The sequence below is a fragment of the Homo sapiens genome, chromosome 11, assembly GCF_000001405.40.
Source record: "Homo sapiens chromosome 11, GRCh38.p14 Primary Assembly".
Lineage (NCBI taxonomy): Eukaryota > Metazoa > Chordata > Mammalia > Primates > Hominidae > Homo > Homo sapiens.
In genome coordinates, this window is record NC_000011.10 from 3,027,423 (window position 1) to 3,042,388 (window position 14,966).

Here is a 14,966-nt window from a genome sequence, read left to right on the forward strand (position 1 = left end):
CACGGTACAGTGCTGAGCACTACTGTGGGCGGCAAGCCACCCAGGTGCCGAGGCAAGAGACCGAGGGCACGAGCTGTTCCAGTATAATAAAATATAAAATAAGAATAGTTATACCAGATATAGATCTTAGATATGATTATATATGAATATCATTAATCATTAGTTTGTAGCAATTACTCTTTATTCCAATATTATAATAATCCTCGCTCTATAATCATAATCTAGGAAAAACCAGGCCATACAGAGATAGCAGCTGAGGGGACATAGTGAGGAGTGACCAGAAGACAAGAGTGTGAACCTCCTGTTATGCCCGGACACGGCCACCAGAAGGGTTCCTTGGTCTAGTGGTAACGCCAGCGTCTGGGAGGATGCCCGTTGCCAAGCGGACTGTGGTCTAGCGGTAGCGTAAGTGTCAAGGAAAAACACCCGCTACTTAGCAGACCGGGAAAGGGAGTCTCCCTTGCCCCGCGGGAGTCTGGAGAAGACTCTGCTCCTCCACCTCTTGTGGAGGGCCTGACATGAGTCAGGCTCGCCCGCAGTTATCCGGAGGCCTAACCGTCTCCCTGTGATGCTGTGCTTCAGCGGTCACGCTCCTAGTCCTCCTTCATGTTCCATCCTGTACACCTGGCTCTACCTTCTAGATAGCAGTAGCAAATTAGTGAAAGTACTAAAAGTCTCTGATATGCAGAAATAATGGCGTAAGCTGCCTCTCTCTGTCTCCTCTCTCTCTCTGCCTTGGCTGCCAGGCAGGGAAGGGCCCCCTGTCCAGTGGACACGTGACCCACGTGGCCTTACCTATCATTGAAGATGGCTCACTCTCCTTAACCTACCCCTTTGTCTTGTATCCAATAAATATCAGTGCAGCCTGGCATTCGGGGCCACTACCGGTCTCCGCGTCTTGGTGGTAGTGGTCCCCCGGGCCCAGCTGTCTTCTCTTTTATCTCTTTGTCTTGTGTCTTTATTTCTACAATCTCTCATCTCCACACATGGGGAGAAAAACCCACCGACCCTGTGGGGCTGGTCCCTACACACTACAGACAGATAACCGGGTTCCTGTCTGCATTTCCATTTGTTGGCCATTTCTGAAAATGCTTACTTTGGAGATTGAGACAATACGGGCCAGGGAAGTGTATGATGGATTTGCCAACAAAAAGTCACTAAAATCATAGCCAAGCGATAGATGCTGATGAAATGCATCCTCCTTCGGGATATGACACCAGGACTAGCACTCTCAAAATGTCTACGCAATGGCACTGATGTCTGTGAAGGCCCAGCAGTATTCGCACTCACCATTATGCAGCTCTGGGGCCCCATGACTGATGGTCTTGGCTGCCGAGCTTCCCAGCAGATTCTGGGTTAGGTTCTCACCATGGCCCCCAGGACAGTGCAGACCCATGCTCCTCAGCCCCTGGGTGGGCCCAGAGTTGTAGGAGGAAGTCTGCTGGGACTTCTAGCTACGCAGCCCCAGAACACCTGCTCCTCTGCTTCCCAAACTCAGGCTCAGAGCTGGGGAGCTCCTCCCTGTGCGATGTTCTGCAGCCCTTCCCTCCCTAGGGAAGGCCCTTGTGCTTACCCGTAACCGTTGTCCACAATCTTCTGGACAAAGTTCACAATTTCTGGCACATACTCACTAACCCGGGTTAAGACATCTGGAGGGAGAACCTGTGCAAGACATGAGAATGTCCTGGGATTTTCCCTTCTGAAAACCACGCGCTCCATAAAAACGTTCCCAATTCATAAAACGAAAAGCCCATTATGCCCCTCAACTCAAGTTCAATGTTGACTTGGCCGCTTAATTGAGCTGGCCTTGCCAAAACAGGAATTTAGAAATCAGGGCCCTTAGCGCAAGAGAGCCAGCACAAGACAATCGTGACACTTACATTCAGAGCTTCCATGTCTCTGTGGAAGTCCCCCTCCCAGAACTTGGGCAGCTTGGAGAAGATGGAATTGTCAGTGACATCACAGCCAAGTGTAGAATCCAGCCAGTCAGAGAGCAAATCCTTGGCTTCTTCCAGCAACACCTGAAGAGAAAGAAACAAAAATCCAGCAGCGGGCCACACACTTCACATGAGAACATCTCGTGCAGCTGGTGTGAGCCCATCAGTGCCCTGAATTCAAAGGTGCTGACCTTGACCTGTGAAGAGCCACCGTCTCCTAGGGAGACTGTGATGCTTACACAACTGGCTCGGCAGGGACAAATACAAGACTCTACAAATGGGCAGGTCTCACATGAACTCAGAGGAGCAAAGCCAAGGGGACTGTGGGTGCAGAGGCAAAAAGAGGTGGGAGGGCCGAGGTGGGCCTGGTGAGCATGTGCAGCCTACCTGGGCCGTGCAGGGCAGGGTTATGGGCAGAGGCTGGGCAGGAGCACACAGTGTGTCACCTACAGCACAACCCCTTGGTGCATTCAGGAAAAGATTCATGACGGACACAGCCAGAGGTTAGGAGAGATAGGCAGGGCACTGGTCCCAGAGGTCTCAAAAGCCCCATCTCCCTGACGCCATTGACTGAAGATGCCATCCCCACTTGACACACCATGGAATGGGAGTAAAAACCACCAATCCCAGCAAAACATGGCACCTATGTGAACCAGGTCCTGACCACACACACTCTAGGCATGAGACACGCCCCAACTGCACTCATGTCAGAAAAGAGAAATGTCTACCCTCCGCCATCTTGGAGGGACCTAGAGTCTCAATGCACTGACGTGGACCCAGGACAGGGCGTGACACCAAGCAGATGGTCTGTGGCCTACTATGGGAAGGGGAGGCAAAGAACCAAGGCTGGAGAGAAAAAGTGTAGGAAAATGGCCTGGCAGACAGCAAGGACACAGGGTGGACAAAGCCACAACACAGACAGAGAAGGGGCACAGGGCCCACGTGGGCCAGGTTCCTGATGCAATCCCTGCCTACAGCTCCTGAATCAAACAGATGTGTTAAATGTATTGCAGGCCTGCAAGTGGCAAGGCACGTCTGCAGGAATGAGCACACCCTCCCCACCGCGGCAGGGCATCCAGTGGGCAGACAAGCACCAAAAGCAGGGTGTGCGCTCTGGGGAGCAAAGGCTGCCAAGTCTGCTGCCCGAAAAGCAAACACTGGGCCTGCCCCAAGTACAGGGAAACGCGCATCCTGGCCCTCAGGATCACCAAGGTCACGACCCAGCAAGAACCGACATCCTAATCGAGGTCACCAAACACCCAAGAACATGAGCAACTGTGAATGGGAGTCAGCAGAAACGACAAACAGATGGACGCTTCAGATGGAGGAGTTATCAGATACATAATAAAATCCAGTAAATATTACAGGCTTAAAGACATAAGGACGGACTCCCAGATGACAGGCAATAGCAAGCAGGGACAGGCCAGCAAAGCGGCCCAGCTGGATCTGAAAATAGAAGCAAACGGAACCTGCAGAGATGAAATCTATTAACAGGCGAAACAGTCTTATCCATCCTACTGAGTGACTGTTTCACTTCCTGTCTGAAGGAGAATTTGTGAACAGGAAGACAGAACTGAAGAAGTCATCCAAAATGAAACAGAGACAAGAAGGAAAATTTTATGAAAGACAGGTTAGGAGACACGGAGAAGGATGAGATGAAATGATGAGACTCACATCTAATTGGCAACCCAGAGGAGAGGAGAGAGGGAATCGAGTAAAGGTGATACTTGAAGACACATCTGAGAATTTCTCAAAACCCATGCAACAATCCAGCCCCGGGAAGCACACAAAATATCCAATAGGATAAGTAAAAACAAATCTCTTACAATGTCTTTGTGAAATAGCAGAAAACTGAAAAGAGAGAATACTTTTATAATGCGCCTGATAGAAAAGACATATTTACCAATCAAAGAAAAGTAATTTGAAGGGCAGCCGATGTTTTCAACAACAGCCAACAATGGAAGCCAGAAGACGGCAACCACCTTGAACAAACAGGGAAATATACACACTTCAAGATAGACAAAAGCTGCTTCCCACCAATACTTCTAAGATAATGTTTCTAAAACTTGCCTGATGATAGGGCTGGAATACTCAATGTTGCTGGTCAAGCATACAGATCAACAATCAAAATGCATAAATACAAAATGATAAGAGACTTCTGCTTTCCAGTTTCACATAAGTCAGGAGCTTGGAAGTTGCCACTCTACCTAACAACAGGTAAAAAGCTGAATAAACTGAAAAACCAACTCTTCTTAGATCCATAAGAGAAGTTAGGTCATAGGGCAAACCACTGCCCCCTAAACTGGAGAGACCAACAGGAGAAGACAGACAATCACAACTTACCAGAGCAGAGACTCATAAGCTGAAAATTCTGTGGGAACCAGTGTTGGGGGAGGAAAACCAGGACTGTAACAGAGATTGCTGCAGGCTTGGTGTAGGCAAGTCAGACAGTTGAAAACCCCAGGGACCCAGTCATAGGGGACCCCATACTTTTGTGAGTTTTACCTCTAGGAACCTGACCAGGCCTCACAGTGAATATTGGAGAAAAATCCCCTTGTGTTTCCAATAGCAAGAAGGGAAAGGAAGCATTCCAAAATATACCAGTGCACTCTGTTCTTTTCTTTCTCCTTCCTTCCTTCCCTCCCTCCCTCCCTCCCTCCCTCCCTCCCTCCCTCCCTCCCTCCCTCCCTCCCTCCCTCCCTCCTTCCTTCCTTCCTTCCTTCCTTCCTTCCTTGATGGAGTCTAGCTCTGTCACCAGGCTGGAGTGCAGTAGTGCAATCTCAGCTCACTGCAACCTCCGCCTCCCGGGTTCAAGCAATTCTCCTGCCTCAGCCTCCCGAGTAGAAGGGATTACAGTCACGTGACGCCACGCCCAGCTAATGTTTGCATTGTCAGTAGAGACGGGGTTTCACCATGTTGGCCGGGATGGTCTCAATCTCTTGACCTCATGATCTGCCCATCTCGGCCTCCCAAAGTGCTGGGAGTTCAGGCGTGAGCCACCGCGCCCGGCCAATAACTGGTAGGTCAGAAGTATAGGTAACAAACTACTACTTTCAACTGGCATCTGAATTGGGGACAGTCTTATGGGACTGAGCCCTTCAACCTGTCAGATCTGACGCTTCCTCCTGGCAAACTGTGTTGGAAATGAATTAAATTTTAGGACTCCCAGCTGATGCCTGCTAGAGAACTGACTGGTTGTCGGGGCAGAGGTGGGCTGGGTGAGGAAGAAATCCCTATGCATTTTGGTGATCAGAGGTGAAGTATTCTGTTTAAAAATTTTTTCCGATCTGAAATGGCTGCAACACTGTAGGATTCCAAGTATGTGACATTCTGGGAAAGGCAAAACTACGGAGACAGTAGAAAGACTAGCTGCTGTCAGGAGTTGGGGTGGGGAGGAAGGGATAATAGCTGGAGCACAGAGGATGTTCAGGGCAGTGAAACTATTCTGTGTGATACCGTAATGGTGGATACGAGATAGTATTTGTCCAAACCCATAGGATGTAACAATCCTGAGAGTGAACCCTAAAGTAAACCACGGACTCAGGGTAATGACGCTCAGAGCAGGTTCGCTGACTGTAAGAAACGTACCCCCTGGTGGGTGCGGATGCTGGGGGAGGTGACGGTGAGGTGGGTAGGGGATATATATAGCCTCTCAATTCTGATGTGAACCAGAATCTCCTCTAAAAAAAAACTTTTTTTTTTTCTAAAAAGTGAAAAAATAAGGAGAAACAGACAAATTCATCATCAGAGGGGGAGTTTTGTTTTGGTTCTTGTTTTTGTTTTTTTAAGAAACTGTATGAATAGGCTAAGCCAACAGGAAGAATTAGCAAAGACACACAAAATATTAACCACACGGCCAACAGGTATAGCTAAGTGGATGGCATGTGGAACTGTGCACTAGGGGATTAGACGGAATCTTCTCAAGCACAAGAGAACATTCAGAAACCAGCACACACAGGGGCCACAACACAAGTCTCTGTTCACAGATCCAGATTGGGACAGACCATACTCTCCAACCACTGGGTAATTAAGTTATAAGCGAATAACAATAAGTTAATATGAAAAAGTACCATCCAATTTAAATTTGGAAATTTAAAACTTCTAAGTAATTCTAGATAATTAACTTTTAGGTAATTACTTCTAGATAATTCCTGGGCTAAAAAATCCAAAATGGAAATTAGAAATTGTTTACAAGTAAATGATGTCAAATTTTGCAGCAAAAACAGTCAGAGGAAAATGTATAGCCTTAAATTCTTAAATCAGAAAATAAGCTAAACTGCTAAATGAGACAAAGAAAAACAGAATAAATCCAAAGGAAAAAGAAGAAAAGAAGGAATAAAGAATGGACAAAAACTGATAAAACAAAAAGACTACAGAGGATCAACACAGCCAAACTGGATCTGAGATGGTTCTTAGATACAACATGTAAAATCCCAACAGTGTCTTACATGGAACTTGACAAGCTGAGGCTTCAAAACACACCTAACGACAAAACCAAGATGGGGCCTCTTACCCATCAGATACCTGTGAGAGACAGCATGATACTCCTGCAGGACTGGGCAATTTTTATAAATTTTTTAAATTTTAAATTCTTAAACTTTTTGTAGAGATAGAGTCTCACTATGTTGTCCCGGCTGATCTCAAACTCCTGGGCTCAAGGGATCCTCTTGCCTTGGCCTCCCAAGGTGCTATGATTACAGGAACGAGCCACTGCACCTGGTCTGGGCTGGACAATTTGACCAACAGAACAGAATTAAGAGACACAAACACATGCCAACATGTAACAGAGATGAATTCGTGTCTTAGTCTGTTTTCTGTTTTTTTGTTTGTTTGTTCTTTTTTTTGTTTTCTGTTTTTTGTTTTGTTTTGTTTTGTTTTTTTGAGACAGTCTCACTCTGTTTCCCAGGCTGGAATGCAGTGGCGTGATCTCGGCTCACTGCAACCTCCGCCTCCTGGTTTCAAGCTATTCTCCTGCCTCAGCCTCCAGAGTAGCTGGGATTACAGACGCGCGCCACCACATTTGGCTAATTTTTGTATTTTTAGTAGCAACGGGGTTTTGCCATGTTGGCCAGGCTGGTCTCAAACCCCTGACCTCAGGTGATCCGCCCGCCTCAGCCTCCCAAAGTGCTAGGATTACAGGCGTGACCCACTGCGCCTGGCCGGGAATGGGTAAAATTTTTTTTCTTTTTGAGACGGAGTCTTGCTTCGTCGCCAGGCTGCAGTGCAACAGCACGATCTCGGCTCACTGCAACCTCTGACTCCCTGGTTCAAGGGATTCTCCCACCTCAGCCTCCCAAGTAGCTGGGATTACAGGCACACGCCACAACACCCAGCTAATTTTTTTTTTTTTATTTTTAGTAGAGACGGGGTTTCACCATGTTGGCCAGGATGGTCTCGATCTCCTGACCTCGTGATCTGCCCACCTCAGCCTCCCAAAGTGCTGGGATTACAGGCATGAGCCACGATGCCCTGCCTGGGAATGGGTAATTTTTAAATAAAATTTATTTCTTACAATTCTGTAGGCTGGAAAGTTCAAGGTCAAGGGGCCACATCTGTTCTGGGCCTTCTTGCTGGTGGGGACTTTTCCCAGAGTCCCAAGGTGGCGCAGAGCATCACATGGCCAGGGGGCTCATGAGGGCCAAACTGGCTTCTGTAACAGCCCCACTCTCATGATAACTACCCCACTTCTGTGATAACCCATTAATCCATTAACCCATTCATGAGGGCAGAGCTCTCATGACTCGATCACCTCTAAAAGGCCTTACCTCTTAATACTGTTACACTAGGGATTAAGTTTCAGCATGAGTTTTGGAGGGGACAAACATTCAAATCATAGTAATTAGTATCAGAAGACATAAGAATGATACAAAACAGTAAGAAAAGGACCAATAACCTCATGGGAAAGGGGGAGAGATGGGGGCACAGAATCACAGCTGGAAGCAAGCACTTGACAAGATGCTCAGTCTCAGGAGAGGTTGGAAAAAGGGACATTCAAACCACAGCAATCAGCACTTCACATTCATTGACTGATGAAAGGGAAGAATCCAACAATACAAATGCAGGTGTATGTGCAAATACACAGCACACCCAAAATGTGGTAGAAGAAGAAGAAATTTGCATAGACATTTCTTTCTTTTTTTTTAAGAGTCTGGGTCTCACTCTGCTGCCCAGGCTGGAGTGCAGTGGTGTGTTCATGGCTCACTGCAGCCTCAAACTCCTGGGCTCAGGTGATTGTCTCACCTCAGCCTCCCCAGTAGCTGGAACCACAGGCTTGCATCACCATGCTTGGCTAATTTTTAAAAGTTTTGTAGAAATAGAGTCTCACTATTTTGCCTAGGCTGGTCTGGAGCTCCTGGGCTCAAGTGATCCTCTTGCCCTGGCTTCCCAAAGTGCTGGGATTACAAGTGTGAGCCACTGTGCCTGGCCATATAGACATTTCTGATATGGCTACTATGAAGATAAAAGTGAGCCTAGAAGGTCTGTGTCTGCCACCTGAGAAAGGCCTGCCTACAGAGCTGGCCATTAGCTGGCATCCAGGAGCTGAAATGTCCCCTGTGCTAAGAGGCCGGGAAACCCAGCTCTGTGGCAGCAGCCCCCAGTGGGCTGTTGAACAAACACTGTGGCTTATGCAGGTGGAACACCAGCTTTCCTCCTGGGGAGTCAGGAATTGCGGCACGTGCCAGGCAGAGGGTGCCTATGTGATGGGCTTCCCTAGGGAGGGACATTTCACACATGTGGCTGCATTTTTTTCCTGGTGGGGGAGAGTGTGCTGTGTCCCCTCATGGGAGGCAGGGAGGAAGCTTCAGCAGCCTGCCCATGGATGATTGAAGACTCCGCCTGAGCTTCTGCTCCTCGCTGTGTCACTGCTACAAACCTTAGACAAGATGATAACTCGATGCCGAGTCTCATGAGTCCTTCTAGGGCCCCAGAATGTGTGGGCAGTGTTGGGAACCCCCGACAGTCACTCACATATATCCTACACAACCCAGCGATTCCACTTGCAGGTATATGGCCTAAAGAAACTTGCAAATGTCCACCTAGAGACAACACAAAACAACTCACAGTTCAGCAAAAGACACTCCACATCACTAGCCATTAAGGAAATGCAAACCAAAACCACAGTATACCACCTCACACCTACTGGGATGAAAAAAATGAAGAATAACAAGCTTTGGCAAGGATGTGGAGAAAACAGAACCCCATGCACTATGGGTGGGAATGTGTAATAGTGCAGCCACTGCAGAAACAATACGGTGGTTACGCAGAATATCAAAAATAGAATCATCACATGACCCAGCAATTCCACTTCCGTGTATATCCCCAAAAGAAGTGAAAGCAGGAACCCAAACAGATATTTGTACACCCAGGTTTATAGCAGCATTACTTGCATCTCCAAAAGGTGGAAACAACCCACGTGTCCACGGGCAGGTGAAAGGATGAGCAAAATGTGGCCCATCTATACACAACAGAGTATCATTCAGCCATAGGAAGGAAGCAGAGTCTGACATGCACTACAGCATGGGTCAACCATGGGCACACTATGCTGGGCAAAATAAACCAGACACAAAAAGACCCTGTCTCTACAAAAAAAAAGTTTTTAAAAATGGCTAAGATGGTAAATTTCTTATGATGTGTGTTTTACCACAATTAAAAAAAAAAAAAGAATATTAGTGGAACAACTGGGAAAAAAATTACAGCAGCATTGTTGGTAAGAAGGAAACCTAACTGCCCGTCCCAGGAGAACAGACAAACAGCTCGGCTCCCAGGCAGGCACTGAGGCAGTGACAGTGACCACATGTGGGTCGTCCCAGAAGCACAGCTTGGGTGAAAGCACACTGACGACTACATACACGTGGCGTGTTTCCGTGAAGTTTGGAAACAGGCGCAACGAAGCGATCTGCTGAGTCAGGACACAGAAGAGACCAAACTAGAAAGAAACATGCTGGCGAAGGGCAGACACAGACTCCCTGCCCCATCACTGAGGTGGGGCCAGGGCAGTGGTGAGGGAAGGCAGGGCTGCGGCCTCAGTGGGGCCTCTTTTTCTACACACAGCTGCAGCCGTCTCTTCTCTTTTCCATCGAGTTCTTAAAGGGTGACCAGCAGGCGGCGCTGGCACAAAGGAGAAGGCCTTCCTGACTGTGTCCAGGGCGCCAGCCACAGGGAAAGGCCTGAGGAAGAGGGCAGGGTCCCCTCTGCACCCAGGTCTCTGCCCTGTGTCTGAAGGAGATATTGGCAGGGGCAGGAGAGCTGGTCAACGTGAAGGCCCCAAGCTCAGTAGGTACCCACAGGCCTCAATGCTCAATTCAATGTTAATCCCTGCTCCTCCTTCTCCAGCTGGTGTGGGGAGAGTCCGCTGGAGAATCTTGGAACACTTCGACAGAAGGCTGCCTCCCCACGTTCCAAGTGCACCTCCTGCCTATCTGATGGAAGTGGTGGGAGGGTGTGGATCCCGAGTCTCCTTCCAGTGGCACAGGCTCTGCACCCAGGAAATGGGGCAAAGGGGTGTGGGAGGGGAGGGGCACTGACTCAGCCACCGCAGAACAGGGCCGCCTGCCACAGTGGAGCTACTGGAGACACAGAGTGTCTTCCACTAAGACAATCTGTGGAATCAATCCGTGCACACAGATCAGTCTATGCACGGCCCGACATTTGACCCGAACGGGCTGTCTGGGAGATGTGTGAAGCCTCACCTCCACACAGCTGTTGACTTCCTCTCCCGTGAGTCTGGACTGCACAGCTTTCTCAAGTGGCTCTGTGGCAAGCTGCACTGCGTGCTGAATCCGTTCGAGCATCTGCTTTTTATCGGGATCCGTGGTCTCATTTAATTTTACTGAAAATGGCTGCAACCATAAAGAGACGTCAAATCTATTAGATACTGCTCAGCAAAACCTAAATTCATAAAGGTGATTCCAGGTAGAAAACAGAACGGTTTTTCCCATGGCCCCATAGAGATAGAGAAGTGTGCAACCCAAGTGGCCAGGCAGTAAGGAACTAAGAGAGACTGAAGCTCCCGGCTCAGGAGCTCCTGGTTCTGCCCTCTCACGTGTGACCCTGGACAGGGCACCTAACCTCTCTGTGCCTCAGTTTCTCCAATGCAAATTGGGTGTGAGAGCAGTATTTCTAGGGCTGTTCTGGGGATGAGGAAAAGTAGGCCACCCAGTGTGTTCTGAGGTGTGCTGCAGACACATCCATCAGGAAGGTACTCAGGCCTCACTGACCTAAAAGATTGCTCAGCTCTAATTTTATTCCTGTTTTTAATTCCAGAGATAAAATGCCATAAGCATATCCATAATGATTACTGTAATTACTAAGGATAATTAGTAGAGAGTAAAATGACCTATTCTTACTATTGTAATAAAAATAAGTATATAACGATGGTTATTCAGAATGAAAATACTAGAGAGAACTAATTTCTTCAAAAGATTCTGAAAATTTACAGTATTACCAAATTAAAAAGCTTAGTATAGCTTTTGTATCTTGGGCAGAAGTTTCTGATTTAGTTGTAACCTTGGCATTGAAAATTAGACAGCAATATTGGTAAGCATTTTTATAAGTGTAATTAGTGGCACTGTGATGAATTCAGTTGTTTTCCTGTAAGTGGCAGGAATGTCACCTACTCTCCACTCCACTCCAGTACATCTTTGCTGGTGACTTTGTCACAGGCCAGGGGACCTTACCTATGGAGACTTCAGCGCCCCTGACGGAACTGGCTTGAGTAACATACACTTTGTGAAAGCCTGTGAGACTGACACTACCCTAGGGACAGTAGCCTACAAAGGACCGAGAACAGAAAGCAAAGGGCTCGGTTTCTAGAGCAGACAGCAAGAGGCCCACCTTCAGGGCGGCCTGAACATCCTCCAAGAGCTGTGCCGCTTCAGGCCTCTTCTCCCGATACTGCTCGAACAGGTGGTTCTGCCGGGCCCTCTTGATGATCTGGGGAGGGAAGGCAGACATTGGGGAGTGATGCTTGGATCCCACATGCATCCCTCTGCAGCAGGCCACTCTCTCCCTTGGCCAACTCTAAGTGAGGGTGAGGGTGGTGGGAGACAACTGTGGGCCCCGGACGTGCACACCATCATCAAATAGAAACACCACCCTCCATCTCCCACCTGCCAAGTAGTGCCCAAGGCCTAACATGATCTTTCTGACGCTTAATGAAATGAGCCCTGGGGGCCCCAGCTTCCCCTGCAAGCCACATGTCGAAGTGCGTGCTGTGGGAGGCCTTCCTTCTGCAAAACACCCAGGGCTACCGACCCCTGAGCAACATGCAGGTTTCTAACCGTGTCTGAACATCATAGAAATGATCATATCAGTAGCAGAAGTGGTAATATTAACTCACTGAGGGGATTAAAATGATGTTTATCAGGTGAAAACACAAGCTAGCTCAAGCCTACATTATTTACTTATGCGAAAGTTCTATCTTCTTTTACACCATCCAATTGCATTTAAAATTTAATCTTACAAATTCCCTTTACCTTGTCATCAATATCCGTAATGTTCATGCAATAAAAGACATCAAATTTGAAGTAATCCTTCAACACTCTTCTCAAGATATCAAAAGAGATGTAGGACCTAAAGCAATGAAAAAACAAACATTTCCACACCAGACGATATGTATAGCTTAACCTCCAACAACACGTGTTTGAACTGCATGAGTGCATTTATATATGATTTTCTCTGCCATCCCTGAAACAGCAAGACCCCCCCTTCTCCTCCTCAGTCTACTCAACGTGAAGATGGCAAGGATGATGACCTTTATAATGATCCACTTCCACCTAATGAATAGTAAATATATTGCCTCTCCCTTATGATTTTCTTCATAATATTTTCTTTTCTCTGGCTTCCTTTATCATTAGGAATACAGTATGTAATGTATATACAAAATATGTGTTCATTGACTGGCATGCTATTGGTCAACAGGAGGCTATTTTAGTGGTGAAGTTTTTGGGGAATCAAAAGTTATGTGTGGATTTTCAACTGTGCAGAGGGTCACACCCTCTACCCTCCAGGTTGTTCAAGGGTTGACTATACATGACCTTGGCACTGCAACTAAAACATGAACACATAAAAGGACTCTGTGGCATTTACCCCAACAGCCAGCTACTCGTCAGGAGCTACAGCCATGACCATCCAGTGGTCGGGGGGCGGTCACAGCCAACCCAGCGTCAGGCCTGTCAGGTCTGAGTGTCACGGGAACTCAGCATCTGGGGACCCCACGAGAGCTTGAGGGATGAGAGAAAACTTTAAGGTATGTGAGAAAAAGTGCCCAGGTCGAGTCCAGCATGTTAGCAGTGGGGCTATGGACATTTTCTTTTTGGTGATCTGTAGTCTTTCTGCAGTGAATATAGATTACTTATGGCATTAAAATTTTCATCTTAAAAATAAGAGAAGAAATTCAGTCTTGATTCCTCAAATCTCAGGTCTCTGTAGCAGATCTAAGATCTTTGTGGACCTAAGATCGCTGCTGTGGATCCCAATGGCTCTGACTTCTGCGTGCAACTGCAGAAGCTGCAGGGACACCCCGCGGTGGACCTACCTGGCGTGCCCCATGTGAGATGCGTCATAGACGGTTGGCCCACAGCAATACCACGTCACCTTTTTCCCATCTTGAGGTATGAACACTTCCTTTGTTAGGAATGAAGGAATGACGATCACAAGAAATGCAAGAAACACTGCACAGGATTACCAAAAACAGCAACAAACATCACAGTGTGGTTTGTGTTTAGTGTAAACAATTCAACAGAGACCATTTTGTTTTACTGTGAAAAGTCACAGTCTCAGTGGGAGCCCAGTGAGATGTACGGCACCTCCCACCAACTGAGCCCTGGGTGGGTGGGGCCTCTTCCTCCCTGGGGTTCTACTCATCTATGGAGGGAGGCGATAAAGGGAATCAATGATTTTATTGATTGTTGAAATGCTGCTTATTTAACAATAACACAGCTAATATTTACTGAGTACCTACCATGTGCCAGGCCCTGAGCTAAATATTCAATATGCAGTACACTCTAGGACGTAGGTTATGTCATTTTCTTTTTACGGATGAAGAAACTGAGGCAGACAACACTTGGCCAGGGTCAGTCCCTGTTGGGGGAGCGCGGCTTGGAGGCCAGGACCCCTGAATCGTGGTGCTGCTCTGGCACCACTCCCCAACATCCCAGCACCCTCAGACCTCTCTGGGGGCATCATCCTCAACCAGTTTCCCAAGGAAGGCCATGAACTCCCTCACACCTGACTCTCTGTCTGCCAAACATGCTCCCTGATGGAAATCCAAGCAGCCCCGCCCAGAGCCTGGTCTGAAATCACTGGAGTCACTGGCCATGCCCTGAGCCAAGCAAACCATGCAAACCCCATTCTGTTAGGAACCAATCCTGCCTTCTTCTCAAAACCTGCTGTGCTCCCAACAACATCCAGCCAGTTTGCCGTTTTGTCCATCCTGCTTGGCTCATACAGTGCCACCTGCTGCAACCACGCGTCCTCCTGAAAGGCGTGGCTGTGGATGACCTCAAGTACTCATGGTTGGGCAGAGTCCGAGAGACAAGCCAGGGTGATCCATGCCCAGAAGTCATGGGCAGGCTTCCACATGAGGCATGATACTTCACGTGTCTGGGTTTCAGAGGACAGCTCTGCCTCTGGGCCACAGAGACTATAACATGGAAGTGACTGAAGGATCTTAAACCTGGATTTATGGAACTCCAGATCCCAACACAAGGAACAGAGAAGTCTGTTGTGCGACAAGGCACATGGGCTGTCCTGCCTCCTGCCTCCCCATTGTGTGCGTGTGCCACGGCATCTGTGTTCTCCTTACCTTGTTCCTGGTGAGGCTGTTGTAAAGGTGGAGTCTGCATGGCTGGGTCCCAGCAGGAGGGGACCACTGGGGCTGCACACGCCGGCCTTTGCCTGGGAGGCAGAGAGAGCAGGATCAGGGTCCAGGGGCAGCACCAGGAAGTGCAAGTCGCCTCTTCACCTGGAGACTTGGTTTTTACAACGGGACCATAGTTTTCCATGAAATTTAAACAATGTGAAACCACA

The 14,966-nt window shown here is 48.0% G+C and overlaps 1 protein-coding gene and 1 long non-coding RNA gene across 17 annotated transcripts in view, besides 2 other annotated features; one reads left to right on the plus strand and one right to left on the minus strand.

Annotated features, from left to right (window-relative positions):
* CARS1 (cysteinyl-tRNA synthetase 1) overlaps positions 1-14,966 on the minus strand; it is a 56,495-nt gene that overhangs the window by 26,494 nt on the left and 15,035 nt on the right. For 9 of the 16 annotated variants that reach the window (NR_165430.1, NR_165429.1, NM_001751.6 and 6 more), the window contains 7 exons: positions 14,743-14,834; positions 13,474-13,562; positions 12,413-12,509; positions 11,772-11,870; positions 10,628-10,777; positions 1,881-2,021; positions 1,574-1,662 (listed from right to left, as the gene is read on the minus strand). Coding sequence is in view for 12 of the 16 variants with exons in the window: in NM_001751.6 (NP_001742.1) it covers positions 1,574-1,662; positions 1,881-2,021; positions 10,628-10,777; positions 11,772-11,870; positions 12,413-12,509; positions 13,474-13,562; positions 14,743-14,834 (757 nt within the window). In the remaining 4 variants the exon portion in view is untranslated. Of the gene's footprint in view, positions 1-1,573; positions 1,663-1,880; positions 2,022-10,627; positions 10,778-11,771; positions 11,871-12,412; positions 12,510-13,025; positions 13,610-14,742; positions 14,835-14,966 lie in introns of those variants that run through there. The other 7 variants (NR_036542.2, NR_165428.1, NM_001378137.1 and 4 more) reach the window with 2 other exon arrangements.
* On the plus strand, positions 1,972-13,838 carry CARS1-AS1 (CARS1 antisense RNA 1). The gene is made up of 2 exons (NR_046580.1): positions 1,972-4,154; positions 13,358-13,838. It is a non-coding gene; the product is annotated as a CARS1 antisense RNA 1 (long non-coding RNA).
* Positions 3,033-3,533: an enhancer, noted in NCBI's record as "H3K4me1 hESC enhancer chr11:3051685-3052185 (GRCh37/hg19 assembly coordinates)". NCBI's record gives its function as "activates a minimal SCP1, AML or CMV promoter by ChIP-STARR-seq in naive H9 embryonic stem cells {active_cell/tissue: H9 hESC(naive)}" and the evidence as "EXISTENCE:reporter gene assay evidence [ECO:0000049][PMID:30033119]".
* Positions 12,629-13,828: an enhancer, noted in NCBI's record as "BRD4-independent group 4 enhancer chr11:3061281-3062480 (GRCh37/hg19 assembly coordinates)". NCBI's record gives its function as "activates an origin of replication core promoter dependent on BRD2, P300/CBP, MED14 and CDK7 cofactors, and independent of BRD4, by STARR-seq in HCT116 cells {active_cell/tissue: HCT116}" and the evidence as "EXISTENCE:reporter gene assay evidence [ECO:0000049][PMID:35650434]".